The following is a 22,823-nucleotide window of genomic DNA, read 5'->3' as shown; positions in this document are numbered from 1 at the left end:
TTTGATTAGGAATGTCAACTTAACCTTTTCTGGATGGCAGTTGTTTTTAAGCTAGGATAAGGAAAAGAAAGGCAACAGAGCTGATAGCTAGGGCTCCTGGGTAAGCACAAGCCCTTTGGAGGTCTCAGGAGGTGGGTGTGAATTAAGGCCCACCACTTAAGGCCCACCACTTAAGGCCCTGTGACCTTGGGCGGGCCTTGAAACTTGTGTTTCCTTCTCTCTAAAATGAAGCTAATAATTTCGACTTTGAAGGATTGTTATGAAGGTTAAATAAAACTATATAGGAAAATTCCTAACAATGTGCTCCATACTTATTAATAGTTGAGCTAAAAAAGTTCTTGCCTTCCATTTTCCACTGAAATAACATTCCCAGCTAAAACTTACTGTGAAACTAAAGGCAAAGCCAACAGCCGCTATAAAACAGAATTTTAGTGTGTGTGTGGGAAGCACAGGGCCTAGTACAGAAGCAAGGTTGGATGAGGATGAATGCAATGACAGCCTGCAGCTGCCTGATTTGGAAGGAGTAAGGTTAGCTGCTCCAGTCAGCCACACATTTCATGGTCTGGCTTTCATAGTTCTCCAGGAGGGGAAGAGGAGGCCTTGTCTCTAAAAGTAATAGCTAATATTTATTGAGCGGTTATTATATACCAGGCATTCTGCCAAGTGCTTTACACACAGCATCTCATTTAATCCACACAATAATCTTACCAGGTGAGTCTTACTGATATCTTTTTAAAAACTTTTATTGTAGAAAATATCTGCTGGGCACAGTGGCTCAAGCTTATAATCCCAGCACTTTGGGAAGCCAAGGCAGGGCAGATCCCTTGAGCCCAGGAGTTTGAGAGCAGCCTAGGCAACATGGTAAAACCCTGTCTCTATAAAAAAATACAAAAATTAGCTGAGCATGGTTGTGTGTGCGTATGGTCCCAGCTACTGGGGAGGCTGACATGGGAGAATAGATTGAGCCTGGGAGGTCGAAGCTGCAGTGAGCCTTGATTGCGCCGCTGCACTCCAGACTGGGAGACAGAGCAAGATCCTGTCCGAAAATTGAAAAAAAAAATCAAGTATTTATTTAGAAATAGACAGAATATTTTAACGAACCCCTCTATCTCCATCACCCAGTGTCAACAGTTGTCAGCTCATGGCCAAACTTGTTTCATCTCTATCCCATCCATTTCCCTCTTCCTTATTTTGAGGCAAATCTCAGATATTATATTACTTTATTTGTAAATGTTACGGTATGTATCAAAATGTCAAAAAATAACACCAAAAATCCTCCAATACCATGTTACTCTATAATTATATCTAAACACATTTAAAATGATTCCTTAATATTATTAGATATCTAATCAATGTTCAAGTCTCCCCAGTTGTGTCAAAAATGATTTTTTTAGTTTTTTTTTTCAAATCAGATCTAAACATGCACACATTGCATTTAGTTAATATACCTCCCAAGTGTCTTTTAATCTATAGGTTCCTCTCTCTCTTTTCCTTTCCTTGCAATTTATTTGTTGAAGTCAGTCAGTCATTTGTTCTGATATCCCCCTCCCCCCAACCCCCCACCCTGTTTTTTTAACAGACAGGGTCCCACTACGTTTTCCAGGCCAGACTCCAGTTGCTATTCACAGGTGGGATCATAACGCACTATAGGCTCAAACTCCTGGTCCCAAGGGATCCTCCTACCTCAGCCTCTCCAGTAGCTGGGACTACAGATGCACACCACAGCCCTCAGCTGATATTCTTTTATATTTAAAGTTTTAATTAATTAATTAATTAATTTAGAGACAAGGTCTCACTCTGTCGCCCAGGCTGGAGAACAGTGGTGCAATCATGGCTCACTGCACCCTGACCTTCCGGGCTCAATGGATCCTCCTATCTCAGCCTCCCAGGTGGCTGGTACTACAGGAACATGCCACCATGCCCAGCAATTTATTTATTTGTTTACTTTTAGTAGAGACAGGGTTTCACCATGTTGCTCAGGCTGGTCTCAAACTCCTGGGCTCAAGTGATCCACCCGCCTCGGCATCCCAAAGTGTTCAGATTACAGGAGTAAGCCACTTTGCCTGGACTTACTCTTTTTAAAAATAAAGAAACTCAGAGATGTTAAAGGAATTTAGTAAGGGATAGAAAAGGAATTTAGTCCAAGATATGACTGATTCCAGAATCCAAGCAATTAATGGCTTTATTATATTCACTTTAAATCAAGTGATGAAAAGCAAGGCACAGAAAAAACACAATCACTCATAAAAGATTTCAGAACATGCATGACTCCCCTAAGTAACCATTTCCTTTACCAAATACCCAATGGAAAACTGTTCACTTAAAACCCAGGCAAGGCTTGAAATGCGGGAATAGAAATTGAAAACAGAATAACCCAGTATCCTCCTTATGTTTTGAATCTGACTAAATAAATCCTGCATGCAAATGTATCCATAATGTAAAAGAATTTTTACTTCCAACAAATATTTAGCAAGGCAAAAACATTTCTTAACAGATCTATCAGTTTTTTTCTCCCTTTTTCTTCTTTTCTTCCTGATCTCCCTTTCCCTCTTTTCTGTATAGCTAAGATAAGGAGAAAACATCTCTTTCAAGCAATTATTTTAAAATACCAGTCAAATTAATAATTTGGTAGTTTGATATGTGATATCTGGCTTTTGTTATGGTAGTTTTGAAACCACAGTTACCCTAGCAACTGAATACATTTTTTCTTTAAAAAAATTTTAGCTGTCTGAAGGAGAAAAAAAAAAAAAAGAAAACTTCTTGCCAGAATTTTCCCATAATAGCTTCCATTAACTGCAGTGACTTCTATTGGAGAGGCCAGCACTGCTGTCTCCTGCTGTCACCAGTCATTCACTGATCTAGCAGATGTTTTGTTTGATAAGGCCAATTTGACCTTTATAAAACATTTATTTTTTTCACCTCCAAGGAGCAAATACCAGTAAGGATGGATTCAACGTCTATCACTGGATACCATACAAGGGCCTCAACCTGCCAGTGGAGCTTGTAGGTGAGAAGAAAAACTAAAACAAATCTAAAGGCTTCATTTATTTTAAAAAGGGGAAAAAAGAAAAAAAGAGGAGGGATGGTTAAAGGGTATTAGAACAGTCCCTAAAAACTTAGCAAAAGGCCGGGTGCGTGGCTCACGCCTGTAATCCGAGCACTTTGGGAGGCCAAGGCTGGCAGATCACCTGAGGTCAGGAGTTCGAGACCAACCTGGCCAACGTGGTGAAACCTCATCTCTACTAAAAATACAGAAATTAGCCAGGTGTGGTGGCGCACACCTGTAATTCCAGCTACTCGGGAGGCTGAGGTGGGCGAATTGCTTGAACCTGGGAGACAGAGGCTGCAGTGAGCCGAGATCATGCCACTGCACTCCAGCCTGGGCAACAGACCGAGACTCCAACTCAAAAAAAAAAAAAAAAAACTTAGCAGGAGGAAAAAGTGAGCAGAAGAGCCAATAGTCTATTATAGAATCTTTCTGGCAATACCTAGTAACTGTGCAGTTGCCAAAGAGGGCAATGATGCTAGTTAATGAGAAAAAGGAAGAAGAAAGGGGGTGATGCACATTGCATTGAGTTTTGTAGATTTGATAAACCATGGGTTGGCTTTTTTTTTTTTTTTTTTGAGACAAAGTCTTTCTCTTTTGCCCAGGCTGGAGCACTGGAGTACAATGGTGCGATCTTGGCTCATTGCAACCTCTGCCTCCCGGGTTCAAGTGATTCTCCTGCCTCAGCCTCCTGAGTAGCTGGGATTACAGGCACGTGCCACCACGCCCAGCTAATTTTTGTATTTTTAGTAGAGACGGGGTTTCACCATGTTGGTCAGGCTGGCCTCGAACTCCTGACTTCGTGATCTGCCTGCCTTGGTCTCCCAAAGTGCTGGGATTACAGGCATGAGCCAATGCACCCAGCTCATGGGTTGGCATTTTAAGGAGGTGAAGTAGGTAAGACTCAGCAAGGAAAAAAAGATATACATTAGGACTTCTGGGAGCAACTAGACTCTGAATGTTGGTGAAAATATTTACTTCCCTCTGAACAAAATCCCCTTCTCAGTCATGCTTGTAATGCAGATAGCTCTAGGTTTCTTTTCTTAAAAACACACACACAAACTGATTTTATAAAAATATCCATATCCTTTCTCTTGAATAGAAGGTTTTAAGACCTGGAGCTATAGTGTGGGTAAGTCAATAGATGGCAAAAGAAGTATGGGGTGGTTCTGCCCCTGTTAGTAAGAGACTGCCTTTCATGGGCCTTCTGGGGCTCATTTACTTAGTCATTCTGCAGAGGACCAAAAGAAGCCAAAATCCAAAACAGGAGGTTATTCTTTCAATATAACAGTTCAACAAAGTTTGAAAGAATGAAGGTTCTCATCCTTGGGATTTTATTTTAGATTGCCCTACCTACCTAAGTATAATATTTTGACTTGAGGAATTATATTTTGACCAAGGCAAGAACTAAAAAAACAGAAAGAGAATCAACTCTTTTTGCAGAAAATGTAATTTTTCTATACTAAACTCACCCCGCACTAACTCTCTCTCCCTGTCTCTGTGTTTATGTGTGTGTGTATACACACACACACATATATATATACACATACATACATATTATATAAAGTCCTAATAAGCACATTTTTTAAAGCAAAATGTAAAAGAGAGCAAAACCAGCAAGATCTGTTAGGACTTTTTCTTAACTACTTAAACTTTATTAAAGGAATTTGCTCCTCCTTTGTTGACCATCTGCAAGATGCTATACCTGGGTTACATTTTCATTCTTGAATCCCACCCTTATGTAAGATCTAAAACTGGGGAAGAATGGCTCTCCAGAGGAAAATCTTGACACTTTTAGCATAAGAAGGGGTGCTGGGTTTTGGGAAGAGAGAAATAGAAATATTAACTACAGATAGCAAAAAAGAAAGACAAATTAATATTGATTAATTAGAAGAGCTGAGGAAATCTGGAATGAAAGATTACTCTGAAGTATTTAACCACCAGTAACAACAGACATTACTACCAGAATTAGAGAGCTGTGTAGTAAATTCAGTTCTTGTTTCCAGTCCTTATCCCTTTTCTTTTCTGTTTTAACATGCTCCTTATTTTGAAATATAATTAGAAGCTTACAGAAAAGTTGCTAGAATCTTACAAAGAAACATTCCTGTTTATCTTTTAGGAGATTCGCCAGGTTTTAACATTTTGCATCATTTGCTTTGTTACTCTCTCAGAAGATTCAGATTTTCAAAGAAGACATGGGTTTGGTTTGAGACCAACTAAGTTTGAGAGAATGGTGGAATGTCTAAGCAGAAAAGCTCGGCCGGGTGTGGTGGTTCACGCCTGTAATCCCAGCACTTTGGGAGGCCGAGGCAGGTGGATCACCTGAGGTCAGGGGTTCAAAACCAGTCTGGCCAACACGGTGAAACCCTGTCTCTACTAAAAATACAAAAATTAGCCAGATATGGTGGTGCGCCCCTGTAATCCCAGCTCCTCAGGAGGCTGAGGTGGGAAAATTTCTTGAACCTGGGAGGCAGAGGCTTCAGTGAGCCAAGATCATGCCACTGCACTCCAGCCTGGGCAACAGAGCAACACTCCATCTCAAAAAAAAAAAAAAAAAAAAAGGCTCAGCAGACTGAGAGTCAAGGATCTAGAACTCAAGAAAGAGACTACTTAGAAAGATAACAATTTGAAGAAAAAACTAAGTGGGACTAATTTGTTTGAGGACATGGATTTTGAGGAAAAGGCTAATTCTGAAAGGCAAAAGGTCTTAATTCTGGCCAATGAAAAGGCATGTGATTCTATTAATATATGAATTGTAACTTTTTCATATCTTGGTTCCCTTTAGGGTCATTTGCTATTATTCTTCTTTCACATTTGAAGACTACTTTGAAAATACATGAGGCTTATTGTATGGTTTTATCCAGGGGAAATTTATAAGAAATTGAGAGTATTGTCATTAATATGGCTTGTAGGTAACATATATGTCCCAGTTACCATTATTGTGTAACAAATTACCTGAAAACTTAGTGGCATAAAATGACCATTTTATTATGCTCACAGATTCTCTGGGTTAGGAATTCAGATTGGGTACAGTGGGTATGGATGATTGTCTTCACTCCACCATATCTGAAACCTCAGTCAGGAAGACTCAAAGGCTGTGGGTAATGCAACGATTGGGGGCTGGAATCACCTGGATATGACTTCACTCACTTATCTGGCAGATGATGCCGGCTTTTTTTTTTTAGATGGAATTTCGCTCTTATTGCCCAAGCTGGCGTACAATGGCACAATCTCGGCTCACTGCAACCTCCACCTCCCAGGTTCAAGTGAGTCTCCTGCCTCAGCCTCCCGAATAGTTGGGGTTACAGGCTTGCACCATCATGCCCGGCTAATTTTGTATTTTTAGTAGAAACAAGGTTTCACCATGTTAGCCAGGCTGGTCTCAAACTCCTACCGTCAGGTAATCTGCCCGCCTTGGCCTCCCAAAGTGCTGGGATTACAGGCGTGAGCCACTGCACCCAGCAGCATGCTGGGTTTTAACCAGGACACCTATCATGTGGTCTCTGCATGGGTAAGTGCGGGCTTCCTTACAGCATACAGCTGAATTCCTGTATTGAGTGTCCTAAGACAGCAAGATGAAACATGGCATTTTTGTGATCTAGACTCAAAATTTATGTAACATCACTCTCCAGTACTCTTTTATTGAGACAGTCGCAAGTGTTTGCCCAAGTTTAAGGGGAAAAGACATAAACTCCACTTATCCATAAGACAAATGTTAAGGTCACATTATAAAAAGAGCACTTGGAATAGCAGATACTGTTTCAGCCACTTTGGGAAAATACAGTCTGCAATAAAACATATATGAACACATAAAGGGAGCATCTAACAGAGTGCAAAGAATAGGCATCTGAGAGTTATTTTTCACTGTCTATGGTGGTTGAAATTTAAAGTATTTCCTCAAAGACTAAGATATAAAGAAGAATTTTACATATCCCCTATGCCTTCTTTATTAGGAATTATTTTCCATAAATGTCTTGAAAGTGTAAGATTTGCAGTTTTTTTTTTATTTTTATTTTATTATTATTATTATTTTTGAGACAGAGTCTCACTCCATCACCCAGGTTGGAGTGCAGTGGCTTGATCTTGGCTCACTGCAACCTCCACATCCCACGTTCAAGCAATTCTCATGCCTTAGCCTCCCGAGTAGCTGGGATTACAGGTGCACACCACCACACCAGGCTAATTTTTCTACTTTTAGTAGAGGCAGGGTTTCATCATGTTGGCCAGGCTGGTCTCGAACTCCTGACCTCAAGTGATCCACCTGCCTCGGCCTCCCAAAGTGCTGGGATTACAGGTGTAAGCCACCATATCTGGCCGCAGTGTTTTGATTAACATTTTGGTCTTACATGTACAACTTAGTGCATTGCAATTCTTTAAACATCTCATCAGCAAATGAACAGCAGCTCACGAGGTGTCTAGAATTACAAAATCTACAGGAGTTTCTCATTTGGCCCAAAATTGAGGGTGCTGATCTAATAACTCGATCACTCACATCTCTTTAAAATAAAAGTTAATAGATTGCTTTAATAGAGAATTATTAATCATAGAAAAAATATTCAATCTGTCAGGTGTGCATTCTTTTTTATTAGCTCCCATTTCATTACGTAATTCAAAGGTTTGGAATATTGGAAATCAGCCTGCATCTTTGAAAGAAACCTTAAGACTTTTCTTTGTTACCGCAAGTATTTTTCTCTTTTCCTTTTTTTAAATATGAAAAGAGACTGAGGAAATGTCCTAATGTTTGGTTAATAAATTAAAAACCTATGTTTAAATGCTTTAATATCCTGATCCTATTTCACTGTGTCATCAGGGGTTGCTTTATCAGCTGTAAAATTACATAAGAAACCTTTTAAATGTAGACCTGTTAACAATATTTGAACTTCTGTGCATATACTGTGATCTTCTAATAATGACTACATCAATGGTGACAGCTCACTGTAGCTCACCAGCAACAGCTCTGCAATTGCTGATGTATTTTCAGAGATCAGAGAAGGTAACAAGGCTGGGCTTTTTCCGGCATTCAGTGATTGTTACTCATTCAGTATTTCAGATCTTTTCTAGCCTTCTCCAAATCCTTTTTTGCAAACCATATGAACAAAACATTACTCTTTTTTTTTTTTTTGAGACAAGGTCTCATCCTGTCACTCAGACTGGAGTGCAGTGGCGCGATCACAGCCCACTGTAGCCTCAACCTCCCCAGGCTCAAGTGACCCTCCCACCTTAGCCTCCCAAGTAGCTGGGACTACAGGCACATACCACCATGCCCGGCTAATTTTTGTAATTTTTTTTAGAGTCGGGGTTTTGCCATGTTGCCCAGGCTGATCTCGAACTCCTGGGCTCAAGTGATCAGCCTCGGCCTTCTAAAGTGCTAGGATTACAGGCGTGAGCTACAGCACCTGGCCAGAACACTACTTTTAAAAACCAAGAAACTGCTATATTTGAGTAGCCAATCAATTAAGAAGGCAGAGGAGATGTTGATTATATAGCAAGGACAGACCTAAGGGAAAGGAGTTTTGAAAGTTGAACATTTTTCATTTTAAAACATTAAGTTTGGCTGGGTGCTATGGCTTATGTCTGTAATCCCAGCAAATCACAAGAGAATCATTTGAGGCCAGGAGTTCGCGACCAGCTTGGGCTATGTAGTGAGATCCCATCTCCACCAAAAAAAAAAGAATTTTTTTTAAATTAGGGTGATATGGTGGTGTGCGCCTGTAGTCCCAGCTACCCAGGAGGCTGAGGTGGGAGGATCACTTGAGCCCGGGAATTTCAGAGTACAGTGAGCTGTGATAGCCCCACTGCACTCCAGCCTGAGTGATAGAGCAAGACCTTGTCTCTAAAACAAAACCCAAAAACAAAAAAACATTAAGTTTAATGGAATACATCTCAGTTAACAGTTATGTTAGATGAGGAGGCCTTAGCTCAGAGCAAATCCAGTTTTCTCTGTGTCTAGTCCTACCATAATTGAGCGATGGGGAAAGAAGTATAGAGCAATGTGTATAAGTTAGGGTTTGTTTGGCTACAGGTTTGAAAGCAATCAGAAACCAAAATACAGAACATTGGCTTGAAGTGCAGAAAAAAGTTTACTTCCAAACTGATATGGTGACTCCGTGGATCATCAGGGATCTGAGTGTTTTTCTCTCCCTCTTTTTTTCTCATTTCTTGTGTCATCTATGATTTTTAAAAATCATTTTTTATTTCAATAGGTTTTGGGGGAACAGGTGGTGTTTGGTTACATAGATAAGTTCTTTAGTGGTGATTTCTGAGATTTTGGTGCACCCATCACCCAAGCGGTGTACACTGTACCCAACATGTAGTCTTTTATTTCTCACCCCCCTTCCACTCTTTCCCCTGAGTCTCCAAAGTGCATTGTATTATTTTTATGCCTTAGCATCCTCATTGAGTGCTTCTCTCTTAATGTCTTACCTATTCTTCTTGGTACACAGCCTCATAGGTCAAGATGCTTCAGGTCCAGCTACTGTTTCTCTATTCTAGTGAGCAGGAAGGAGAAAGGGCAAAGAAAACATGCCGTCTACCCTTACAAACACTTCCCAGAAACTCAACTCAACAATTCAGTTAACATCTCATGGACTAGAATTTACTCAGAAGCCATATCCAGCAGCAAGGAAGGTTGGGAAATACAGTTTTTTTTTCCTGTGGCTGTGTTTCTAGCTAAAAATTCTATAACCAAATACTATGGTTTGAATGTTTTTGTTCCCCTCAAATTTATGTGCTGGAACCTTAATCCTCATTGCAACAGTGTTGAGAGGTGGGGCTGAATGGGAGGCATTTCAGTCATGAGGGCTCTACCCTTGTGTGTGGATTAATGCTGCTTTAAAAAAAGAGCTTGCAGGAGTGGGCTCTCTCTCTTCTGCTCTTCTGCTACGTGAGGAACAGTGTTCCCCCTCCTCTGGAGGATGCAGAGTTCAAGGTACCATCTTGGAGGCAGAGACCGGACCCTCACTAGATGCCTAAACTGCTGGCACCTTGATCTCAGACTTCTCAGCCTCCACAACTGTGAACAATAAATATCTGTTTGTTATAAATTCCCCAGTCTCAGGTATTCTGTTATAGCAGCACAAATGGACTAAGGCACTAAGGAAAAAGGGGAGCTAACATATAATATTCCCTGACACAAAATAAGTCTTTTAGGAAAGGAGAGATGATCTAGGAACCAATAAACTGTTGTGAAACAAATTTATATGATCCTTGGTTAGTCAGTGTGTGACCAAATAGCAAAATGATTTTAAACTTTATTCTACCCAAATGAACATCAAGAATTCAAGAATTAGATTTAAATGAGACAAAACATTATTTTTGATGTTATTAAGGGTGAAAGTGGCATTGTGGTGGTGTTAGAAAAATGCCCTTACTTTTTAAAGATTTATATTGAGGATAAAGGGGTGAAATGACATGATGTTTGGCATTTTCTTAAAATACGTCTACAGGCCAAGTGCAATGGCTCATGCCTGTAATCCCAGCACTTTGGAAGGCTGAGGCAGGAGATTCTCTTGAGCCCTGGAGTTCGAGACCAGCCTGAGCAACATAGTGGGACACTGTCTCCACAAAAAATTTAAAAATTAACCAGGCGTGGTGGCACACCTGTAGTCAGTCCAAGCTACTGGGGAGGCTGAGGTGGAAGGATTGCTTGAGCCCTGGAGGTTGAGACTGCAGTGAGCTGTGTTCAAGCCACTATATTCCAGCCTGAGTGAAAGAGCAAGACCTTCTCTCAAACAAACAAACAAACAAACAACCCCAAACAAAACAGAAACAAAAAACTTCTACAAAGAAAAAAGGGGGAAGATGAAAAAAATATAGTCAAAATCTTGATAATTGCTAATTTGGGGTTGGGGGCAGTGGCTCACACCTGTAATCCCCGCACTTTCAGAGGTCGAGATGGGCAGATCCCTCGAGTCCAAGAGTTCGAGACCAACCTGGGCAACATGGCAAAAATCTCATCTCTATAAAAAATACAAAAATTAGCTGGGCATGGTGGTGCATGCCTGTGTTCCCAGCTACTTGGGAGCCTGGGGTGGGAGGATCAGCTAAGCCCAGGAGGTCGAGGCTGCAGTGAGCTGTGGGATCATGCCACTGCACCCCATCCTGGGTGACAGAATGAGATCTGGTCTCAAAAAAAAATTTATTTTTTAAATTGGGGGTATGAGTACATGGGATTTACTGTACTATTATTTTTTATATGTTTGAAATGTTTCTTTTTCTTTTTTTTCTTTTTGAGACGGAGTCTCGCTCTGTCGCCCAGGCTGGAGTGCAGTGGTACGATCTTGGCTCACTGCAAGCATCGCCTCCCGGGTTCACGCCATTCTCCTGCCTCAGCCTCCCAAGTAGCTGGGACTACAGGCGCCTGCCACCATGCCCGGGTAATTTTTTTATAGTTTTAGTAGAGATGGGGTTTCACCATGTTAGCCAGGATGGTCTTGATCTCCTGACTTCATGCTCTGCCTGCCTCAGCCTCCTAAAGTGTTGGGAGTACAGGCGTGAGCCACTGCTCCCAGCCTGAAATGTTTCATTGAACAAACTTTTTTGAAAATAATCAGGATCAAAATATCTACATCTTAGTTGGTGATATCAGTACCATGTAACCTTGGCCAATTTAATGTTTCTGTGTTTGAGTTTCTTCATATGTAAAATACAAATAATAATACCTGGCCTATCCAGTTAACAGTGCTGTACTGAAGGCCAAATATAAAAATGCCTGTAAAAGTGTTTCAGAACCTATAGTATAGTGTGATATCAGATATTATTGATAATGTGCTTGCTGTCATTTTTATTAATGTGAGGCCAGAGTCCATGTCCCATTATTCACTGCTATATCTCTAGTGACTGGTAAAATGCCTGACACGTAATAGATATAAAATAAATGTTTGATAAGTGAGAACAAAATTAAGAAACAAACTATATATGAAATTGACATGAACTTGTAAAGATAGAAGAGACCCGGGAAGTCATCCAATAACCTCAAGTTATGTATGAGGAAACTGAGCCCAGAGCAATTAAAGGACTCACCTAACACGACACAGGTGGCAGATAGGAGATAAAGGCACAGTCATCCTCAAAATCACAAGGGAAACACCAGAGACTCCAGGAGAATGTTGCTCCCTTTTTAGCTACTTCAGGAAAATCATGCCATAATATCATGACATCACTTCTTGTTGCAGTCCCAAGGAACAGTGCATTCTCTAGCAGCACTCAGACTTCATTCCATTAACAACTGTTACCAAACAGGAGGCAGTAGGGACTCAAAAATCCTTTTGTCACCTTTTGGTTCCAATGTTCTACAGGGGTAGAGGGAGCTTCTGCTCCCTGGCCTGTGGGTCATATGGTCTTTGTTGCAACTCTCAGCTTTGTTTTTGCAGAACAAAAGCAGCCAGAGAAAATATGTAAATGAATGAGTTTGGCTGTGTGCCAACAAAACTTTATTTATAGAAATAGGTGACCAGCCAGATTTGTTGTAGAGGATTTAATAAGAAGCCAGGACTTACCTAAAATGTACTCTGTTCCAAAGGCCAGTCTGTTCTCCAACTCCTCTCAAACATTATAATAATGATATACATTATAATTCATATATGCTACTAATAAAATGTTATTTTTAAAATAAGGCAAAAGTGTGACCGTCATACAAATATTTTAAAAAGTTAAAAATTTGGCCAGGCATGGTGGCTCATGCCTAGAATCCCAACACTTTGGGAGGCTGAAAGGGGTGGATCACTTGAGGTCAGGAGTTCGAGACCAGCCTGGCCAACCTGGTAAAACCTCATCTCTACTAAAAATACAAAAATTAGCCAGGTGTGGTGGTGCAACTGTAGTCCCAGCTACTTGGGAGGCTGAGGCAGGAGAATCACTTGAACCTGGGAGGCGGAGGTTGCAGTGAGCTGAGATCCCACCGCTGCACTCCAGCCTGGATGACAGAGTGAAACTTTATCTCAAAAATAAAATAAAAATAACAAGTCAAAGATTTTATTTAACACACTAATTAGTAAGGAAAACACCAATACATTAAAACCAGTTCAAAGGGGATTAAAAGAACAAACACACATAGAGGCAATCAGGAATGCCAAAATGAATTTGTCAATAGATGAAAAACTGAGCAATATTTACAAGAAATAGAATAATGCTTGGAATCATCTTTTCCACAGAGTGGTCATCAATTTCATCTTCACCGGACACAATTTATTGCCATGTCTATGGACAAGACTCATTTGCATTACTATAAGATTTTTTTTTTTTTTTAAAGACAGGGTCTTGCTCTGTCGTCCAGGCTGGAATGCAGTGGTGCCATATCGGCTCACTGCAACCTCCACCTCCTGGGTTCAAGTGATTCTCATGCCTCAGCCTCTCGAGTAGCTGGTGTTACAAGCATGTACCACTATGCCTGGCTAATTTTTGTATTTTTAGTAGAGACAGGGTTTTACCATGTTAGCCAGGCTGATCTTGAACTCCTGGCCTCAAGTGATCCGCCTGCCTTGACCTCCCAAAGGGCTGGGATTACAGATGTGAGCCACCTCCCCTGGTCTTGCATTACTATAAGTTTTCAACAACTTACAGAGTTGCATATAACCATCAGTCTGTGATGAAAACCACAACTCTCCATATAGTCAGATAATTCCAAAGGATCTCTTAGACAACTCCCACTGAAAAGATACCCAGTCATCACCCATTCAGAATTTTCCCTGATAATTTATTGTAATTTTTCTTTTCTTTTCTTTTCTTTTTGAGACAGAGTCTCGCTCTGTCACCCAGGCTGGAGTACAGTGGCACTATCTCGGCTCACCGTAACCTCCGCCTCCTGGGATCAAGCCATTCTCCTGCCTCAGCCTCATGAGTAGCTGGGATTACAGGCACCCGCCATGTAATTTTTCTTAATGCTATTCTTTAATCCAAAGTTTTCCAAAAGTGATAGACATAACACTGGTGATACTGGATTTTAGGTGGCATGGACAAATATTTTTATCTTAATAAACATATATTTATTTTATAATAGGTTATAAAATCAAAATTAGACTGTCAAACTCATAATATCACAGATACTATTTTTTAAAAACCTCTACCTAGATAGATCACTGAAATTTCAGAACATTATAAATAAGAGATGATTCTAAAATCCTGTAGAAAGAAAAAAAGTTACTTACAAAGGAGAAAGAATCATGGACGCCGCCGAAGAAGTATCGTTAAAGTTTCTCTTCTCCCTGGCGTCATGTCTAAGTCAGAGTCTCCTAAAGAGCCCGAACAGCTGAGGAAGCTCTTCATTGAAGGCTTGAGCTTTGAAACAACCAATGAGAGCCTGAGGGGCCATTTTGAGCAACACGGAATGCTCACGGGCTGTGTGGTAATGAGAGATCCAAACACCAAGCGCTCCAGGGGCTGTGGATTTGTCACATGTGCCACTGTGGAGGAGGTGGATGCAGCCATGAATGCAAGGCCACACAAGGTGGATGGAAGAGTTGTGGAGACAAAGACAGCTGTCTCAGGAGATTCTCAAAGACCAGGTGCCCACTTAACTATGAAGAAGATATTTGTTGGGGGCTTTAAAGAAGACACTGAAGAACATCACCCAAGAGATTATCCTGAACAGTGTGGAAAAAATGAAGTGATTGAAATCATGACTGACTGAGGCAGTGACAAGAAAAGGGGCTTTGCCTTTGTAACCTTTGACAACCATGACTCCGTGGAGAAGACTGTCATTCAGAAATACCATCCTGTGAATGGCCACAACTGAGAAGCTAAGAAAGCCCTGTCAAAGCAAGAGATGGTAAGTGCTTCATCCAGCCACAGAGGTCGAAGTGGTTCTGGAAACTTTGGTGGCGGTCGCGGAGGTGGTTTCGGTGGGAATGACAACTTTGGTCTTGGAGGGAACTTTAGTCGTCGTGGTGGCTTTGGTGGCAGCCGTGGTGGTGGTGGATATGGTGGCAGTGGGGATGGCTATAATGGATTTGGTAATGATGGAAGCAATTTTGGAGGTGGTGGAAGCTACAACAATTTTGGCAATTACAACAATCAGTCTTCAAATTTTGGACCCATGAAGGGAGGAAACTTTGAAGACAGAAGCTCTGGCCCCTATGGTGGTAGAGGCCAATACTCTGCCAAACCACGAAACCAAGGTGGCTATGGCGGTTCCAGTAGCAGCAGTAACTGTGGCAGTGGCAGAATATTTTAATTAGGACACAAAGCTTAGCAGGAGAGGAGAGCCAGAGAAGTGACAGGAAAGCCACAGGTTACAACAGATTTGTGAACTCAGCCAAGCACGGTGGTGGCAGGGGCTAGCTGCTACAAAGAATACATGTTTTAGACAAATACTCTTGTGTATGGGCAAAAAAACTCGAGGACTGTATTTGTGACTAATGGTATAACAGGTTATTTTAGTTTCTGTTCTGTGGAAAGTGTAAAGCATTTCAACAAAGGGCTTTAATATAGATTTATTTTTGCACCCATGCTGTTGATTGCTAAATGTAATAGTCTGATCATGATGCTGAATAAACAACCTTTTTTTCTTTAATATGCTGTTTAAAGTTAGTCTACTCTGAAGCCATCTTGGTAAATTTCCCCCAACAGTGTGAAGTTAGAATTCCTTCAGGGTGATGCCAGGTTATATTTGGAATTTATATACAACCTGCTTGGATGGAGAAGCCATTGTCTTGAGAAACCTTGGTGTCGTTGAACTGACAGTTACTGTTGCGACCTGAAGTTCACCATTAAAAGGGATTACCCAAGCAAAATCATGGAATTATTGGTTATAAAAATAATTGTTGGCACATCCTATGCAATATATCTAAATTGATTAATGGTACCAGATAAAATTATAGATGGGAATGAAGCTTGTGTATCATCCATTATCATGTGTAATCAATAAACAATTTAATTCTCTTGGAAAAAAAGGAGCAAGAATCAAACAAACATCAGATTTCCTATCAACACTGGATGCTCAAAAACAGAAAATATACCTTCAAAGTTTAGAGTGAAAGTTATTTTAAGTGTAGAATTTTACTTCCATTCAAACTTTTCAATCAAGAGTGAGAGTAAAGCACACTTATTCTCAGAAATTTAATAACTCAAGAAGATTTAACAGCCATATAAATTCCAGGTAAATTAAAAACAAGTGCGGTACAGATTTGTTTCCAGCCTAGATGGAGTCACAGAGACCAGATTTACCTTTCTGCCTGAAATCACTGAAAAAATCAGACAAAATCTATGAAACAATGGTTTTTAAGGCACTGGACACGAGACAATGAAGAAGAGTGATCCCTGAGAGATGGGAAGCTAGTCAAGTGAGCCCAGTGATTGTCCAGGCTTAGTGCCTGAGGAGAGTTTCCAGGCTGCAGTGCACGGGGAGTTAAGGCGAAGCCAGGCAAGATGCAGTGACCTCCCGGACTTAAGGAGAAGAGCTGAGAGTTGAAGAGCTGATGCTGGGGAAGATCAAAAAACCAAAGCTGTTGGAGTTTGCAGAATAAAATACCGGAGAGAAGAAAGGGTCTCAGAGAAAGAGAGAATCACCAAAACGTCGAGAGGTTCTCCCTCACGTACTTAGCTGACTGCTTATCAGCACATGCACGGGAGAAAACAACACATGAAAAGAACTACTCATAAGAAGCTCGTGTGGGGCCAGGAATAGTGCCATTTCCCCCATCCAGACTTGAAAATCTCGCAATTCATGGGGTATTAGGGGAGAGTACTCAGAAGGGTCTTGCCTCCATAGTGGAGGAAAGTTGGCCCTAGATTAAATGCTATTCTGATCTCACCTAATGAGGCTTAAAAGCAAGAACCAAAAGGATCAAACTTTTTCCAGGTTAACTTAGTTGCGTCTCAAAAGCTCAAGGATGTTTACAGGTATATAAAAATATCCAGCACCCAACAAAGTAAAATTTACAATGTCTGACATTTAATTAAAAAAAGACAACTGTAAGGCATGCAAAGAAGCAGAAAAATTATAATGAGAAAAAAATCAATTAATCAAAACTGCTTAAAATGGACATAGATGATAACAGTAGACAAGGGCCGGACGCGGTGGCTCACGCCTGTAACGCTAGTACTTTGGGAGGGTAAGGCGGGCAGATCCTTTGAGCCCAGGAGTTTGAGACCAGCCTGGGCAACATGGCGAAACCCCATCTCTACAAAAAATGCAAAAATTAGCCAAGTGTTATGGCACATGCCTGTAGTCCCTGAGGTGAGAGAATCACCTGAGCCTGGGGAGGTTGAGGCTGCAGTGAGCCAAGATCGCACCACTACACTCTATCATGGGTAAGACCCTGTCTAAAAAAAAAAAGTAGGCAAGGAGATTAAAACAGCAATTATAAATGTATTCCTTATATCTCAAAATCTAGAGTAATAGTTTTCAGTAGAGGCATGATTCCCCATCCCTGGTGACATTTGGCAATGTCTGGAGACAGTTTGGTTGCCACAATTTGGGGGTAGTGGTGACACTGGCATGATGTAGGTAGAATCCAGAGATGTTGCTAAACATTCTTCATGCACAGAACAGCCCCCCACGACAAAAAATTATCTAGCCCAAATTGTCAGAAGTGCTGAGGTTGAGAAACTCAGATCTAGAGGAATGATTGAATATGTTAAGTAAAGACATAGGAAATATGAAAAAGATACAAATTGAACTTTTGGATATAAAAATGACAATGACTGAGATTAAAAATACACTGGATAGAATCAATGACAGGTTAGACATTGCAGAAAACATGAGTGAACTTTAAAACATGTCAATATAAGCTATGCAAAATAAAACTCAAAATATAAGTCTGGGGTATAAGAAAAAAGAAACAGATCATCAGTAAGCTGTGGGACAACATCAAGTGGCCTAACATATATGTTGTTGGAGTCCTGAGGAAAAGGGGTGACAGAAAAAATATCTCAAAAGAAATAAAAGCCATGACATTTCCAAATTTGATAAAAGCTATAAACCAACAGATCCAAGAAGCTCAACAAACCAAAGCACAAGAAATGTGAAGAAAACTACACTAAAGCAAAATCATAATCAAGTCGCTTAAAATAAATTATAAATAAAAAATATTAAAAGCAGCCAGAGGGCTGGGCGCGGTGGCTCACACCTGTAATCCCAGCACTTTGGGAGGCTGAGGTGGGCAGATGACCTGAGGTAAGGAGTTCAAGACCAACCTGACCAACTGGGTGAAACCTTGTCTCTACTAAAAATATAAAAATTAGCCAGGTATGATGGTGGGCGCCTGTAATCCCAGCTCCTCGGGAAGCTGAGGCAGGAGAATTGCTTGAACCCGGGAGGTGGAGGTTGCAGTGAGCCGAGATTGCGCCACTGCACCCCAGCCTGGGTGACAGAGCGAGACTCCATCTCAAAAAAAAAAAAAAAAAGCAGCCAGAGGAGAAAGAAGATATGATATGTACAGAAGCACAGACATAATGATGACAGAACATTTCTTGTTAGAGACAAGGTAAACAAAAGAAAATAGTGGAACAACATCTTTAAAGTACTTAAAAAGAAAAAGCTGTCAACCTAAAATTGTATATTAAGATATCTTTTAAGCCAGGGATGGTGGTGCCTGCCTGTAGTCCCAGCTATTCAGGAGGCTGAGGTAGGAGGATCACTTGAGCCCAGGAGTTTGAGTTCAGCCTGGGCAACATATTTAGACCCCATCTCTAAATAAATAAATATATCTTAAAAATGAAGACAAAATAGAGACATTTTTAGACATTAAAAAGCTGAAAGGACTTATCACCTGAATATCCACATTACAGAAAATATTAAAGGAAATCTTTTAGGCAGAAAGAACAGTGGGAAATATAAGTCTACCTAAAGGAATAAAGAGCATTGGAAATGGTAACTATGTAGGTAAATAAATAAAATTTTTAACATTATTTCAATATTTTAAAAAGATAAGCTGGGCACAGTGGCTCACGCCTGTAATCCCAGCACTTTGGGAGGCTGAGGCGGGCAGATCACGATGTCAGGAGTTCGATACCATCCTGGCTAACACGGTGAAACCCTGTCTCTGCTAAAAATACAAAAAATTAGCCAGGCCTGTGGCATGCACCTGTAGTCCCAGCTACTCAGGAGGCTGAGGCAGGAGAATCACTTGAACCCGGAAGGTGGAGGTTGCAGTGAGCCGAGATTGTGCCATTGCACTCCAGCCTGAGCAACAGAGCAAGACTCCATCTCAAAAAAAAAAAAAAAAAAAAAAAAAAAGATGATTGCCTAGCCAGAGAAAGAAATGAAGGGCATCCAAGTGGGAAGGAGAAAGTCAAAGTCAAATTGCCCCTGTTTGCAAACAACATGATCTTATATATAGAAAACCCTAAAAGTGCCACCAAAAACTCTTAGAACTAATAAAAAAAAATTTAGTAACATTGCAGGATACAAAATCAACATACAAAAATCAGTAGCATTTTTATACATCAACAGTGAGCAAGCAGAAGAAGGAATCAAGAAAGCAATCCAACTTTCAATAGCTACCAAAAAAAATTCATGGGAATAAATTTAACAAAGAAGGTGAAAGCTAAAGATCTTTCTCTATAAACTACAGGAAAACTATAAAACACCGATGAAATAAATTGAAGAGGACACACTCAAAAATGGAAAGACATCCCATGTTCATGTTTCCAATATTCTTGGAAGAATATTGTGAAAATGACCATACTATTAAAAGTGATCTACAGATTAAATACCATCCCTATCAAAATATTAATGACTCTCTTCACAGAAATAGAAAAAAAACCTTAAAATTTCTATGGAACCACAAGAAGCCATGAATGGCCAAAGCAATCTTGAGCAAAAAGAACAAAATTGGAGGCATCACACTACTGGAATTCAAAATATACTACAAGAGCTATAGTAACAAAACAACATGGCACTGGCACAAAAGCAGGCACACAGATGAATGGGACAGAATAGAGAGCCCAAAAATAAATCCACATATTTGCAGTTAGCTTATTTTCAACAAAGATGCCAAGAACATTTATTGGGGAAGGGGCAGTCTTTTCAATAAATGGTGCTGGAAAACTGAATATTTGTATGTGAAAAAATAAAACTAGACCCCTGTCTCTCACCATATTAAAAAAAAAAAAAAGCCAGGCATGGTGGCTCATGCCTATAATCCCAGCACTTTGGGAGGCCGAGGTGGGTGGATCACCTGAGGTCGGGAGTTCAAGACCAGCTTGACCAACATGGAGAAACCCCATCTCTACTAAAAATACAAAATTAGCCAGGTGTGGTGGCACCTGCCTGTAATCCCAGCTACTCAGGAGGCTGAGGCAGGAGAATCACTTGAAGCCCGGAGGCAGAGGTTGCAGTGAGCCGAGATCACGCCATTGCACTCCAGCCTGGGCAAAAATAACGAAACTCCATCACAAAAAAATGCAAACAAACAAACCTCAAAATGGATTAAAGATTTAAATGTAGGCTGGGCACAGTGGCTCACACTTGTAATCCCAGAACTTTGGGAGGCCAAGGCAGGTGGATCACTTGAGGACAGGAGTTCAAGACCAGCCTGATCAACATGGTGAAACCCTGTTTCTACTAAAAATACAAAAAAATTAGCCGGGCGTGGTGGTGGGCGCTACTCAGGAGGCTGAGGCAGGAGAATCGCTCAAACTCAGGAGGCAGAGGTTGCAGTGAGCCGAGATCATGCCATTGCAATCCAGCCTGGGCAACAAGAGTGAAACTCTTTGAAACTCCATCTCAAAAAAAAGAAAAAAAAACAAAAAACAAAAAAAGATTTAAATGTAAGACCAAAAACTATAAAGACAGGAGAAATGCTTCAGGACATTGCCTGGTCAAAGATTTTTATGGAAAAGACCTCATAAGTATAGGCAATAAAGGCAAAAACAGACAAATGGAATTCTGTCAAATGAAAAAGCTTCTGCACAGCAAAGAAAACAATCAACAGAGTGAAGAGACGACTTACAGAATGTTAGAAAATATTTGCAAGCTATTTATCCAGCCAGGGATTAATATCCAGAGTATACAAGGAACTCAAGGAATGCAAACAACTCAACAGAAAAAAATAAATAAATGAAAAATAGGCAAATGAGCTGAACTGATATCTCTCATTCAAGAAGATATACAAATGGCCCACAGGTATATGAAAAGATGTTCAACATTACTAATCATCAGAGAAATACAAATCAAAACCACAATAAGTTCTCTTACCCCAGTTGGAAAGGCTATTATTAAAAACAAAAAACAAAAACAAAAAAATACCCAACAAATGCTTGTAGGGAGGTGGAGAAAGGAGAACTCTTTTTTTTTTGAGATGGAGTCTCTCTCTGTTGCCCAGGCTGGAGTGCAGTGGTCCGATCTCGGCTCACTGCAGGCTCCGCCTCCCAGGTCACGCCATCCTCCTGCCTCAGCCTCCCGAGTAGCTGGGACTACAGGCGCCCGCCACCGTGCCCGGCTAATTTTTTTGTATTTTTAGTAGAGACGGGTTTTCACCGTGTTAGCCAGGATGGTCTCGATCTCCTGACCTCGTGATCCACCCACCTTGGCCTCCCAAAGTGCTGCGATTATAGGTGTGAGCCACCGCGCCCAGTGAGAAAGGAGAACTCTTATGCCCTGTTTGTAGCCATATAAATTAGCAGTCATTATGGAAAACAGTGTGGACGTTCCTCGAGAAACTAAAAATAGGCCAGGCACAGTGGCTCATGCCTGTAATCCCAGCACTTTGGGAGGCCTAGGCAGGTGGGTCACTTGAGATCAGGAGTTCCAGACCAGCCTGGCCAAAATGGTGAAACCCCATCTCTACTAAAAATACAAAAAATTAGCCGGGTGTGGTGGCGGATGCCTGTGATTCCAGCTACTCAGGGGGCTGAGGCAGAAGAATAGCTTGAACCCAGGAGACAGAGGTTGCAGTGCACCAAGATCGCGCCACTGCACTCCAGCCTGGGCAACAGAGCGAGACTCCCTCTCAAAAAACAAACAAACAAAACAAAACAAAAAAACCCAAAAACCCCTAAAAATAGAACTACCATATGATCCAGCAATCCCACATCTAGGTATATATCCAAAGGAAAGGACATCAATATGTCAGAGAGATATCTGCACTCTCATGTTTATTGTGGCACTGTTCACAATAGTTAAGACATGGAATCCACCTACATATCCATCAACAGATGAATGGATAAAGAAAGCATGGTACAGGCTGGGCACAGTGGCTCACATCTGTAATCCCAGCACTTTGGGAGGCTGAGGCGGGCAGATCACCTGAGGTCAGGAATTCGAGACCAGCTAATGCAAAATTAGCTGGGCATGGTGGCGGGCGCCTGTAATCCCAGCTACTCAGGAGGTTGAGACAGGAGAATCGCTTGAACCCAGGAGGTGGAGGTTGCGGTGAGCTGAGATCGTGCCGTTGCACTCCAGCCTGGGCAACAAGAGTGAAACATCATCTCAAAAAAAAAAAAAAAAAAAAAAAAAAAAAAAGCATAGCACAGCTACTCGGGAGGCTGAGGCAGGAGAATCACTTGAACCCGGGAGGCGGAGATTGCAGGGGGCCGAGATTGGGCCACTGCACTCCAGCCTGGTGACAGAGCGAAACTCCGTCTCAAATAAAAATAAAAATACATAAAGAAAGCATGGTATAGGGCCGGGTGCAGTGGCTCAAGTCTGTAATCCTAGCATTTTGGGAGGCCGAGGCAGGTGGATCACCTGAGGTCAGGAGTTCGAGACCAGCCTGGCCAACATGGTGAAAACCCATCTCTACTAAAAATACAAAAAATTAGCCTGGCGTGGTGGCGGATGCCTGTAATCCCAGCTACTCAGGAGTCTGAGGCAGGAGAATCACTTGAATCTGAGAGG

The 22,823-nt window shown here is 41.1% G+C and overlaps 1 pseudogene; it reads left to right on the top strand.

The window, feature by feature from the left end:
- HNRNPA1P39 (heterogeneous nuclear ribonucleoprotein A1 pseudogene 39) lies at nucleotides 14,207-15,611 on the top strand (annotated as a pseudogene).
- The last annotated feature ends 7,212 nt before the right edge of the window (nucleotides 15,612-22,823 follow it).

Source organism: Homo sapiens, chromosome 2 (assembly GCF_000001405.40).
Source record: "Homo sapiens chromosome 2, GRCh38.p14 Primary Assembly".
Taxonomy (NCBI): Eukaryota; Metazoa; Chordata; class Mammalia; order Primates; family Hominidae; genus Homo; species Homo sapiens.
The sequence above is the reverse complement of the archived record's forward strand: the minus strand, read 5'-3'. Positions and strand labels throughout refer to the sequence as shown.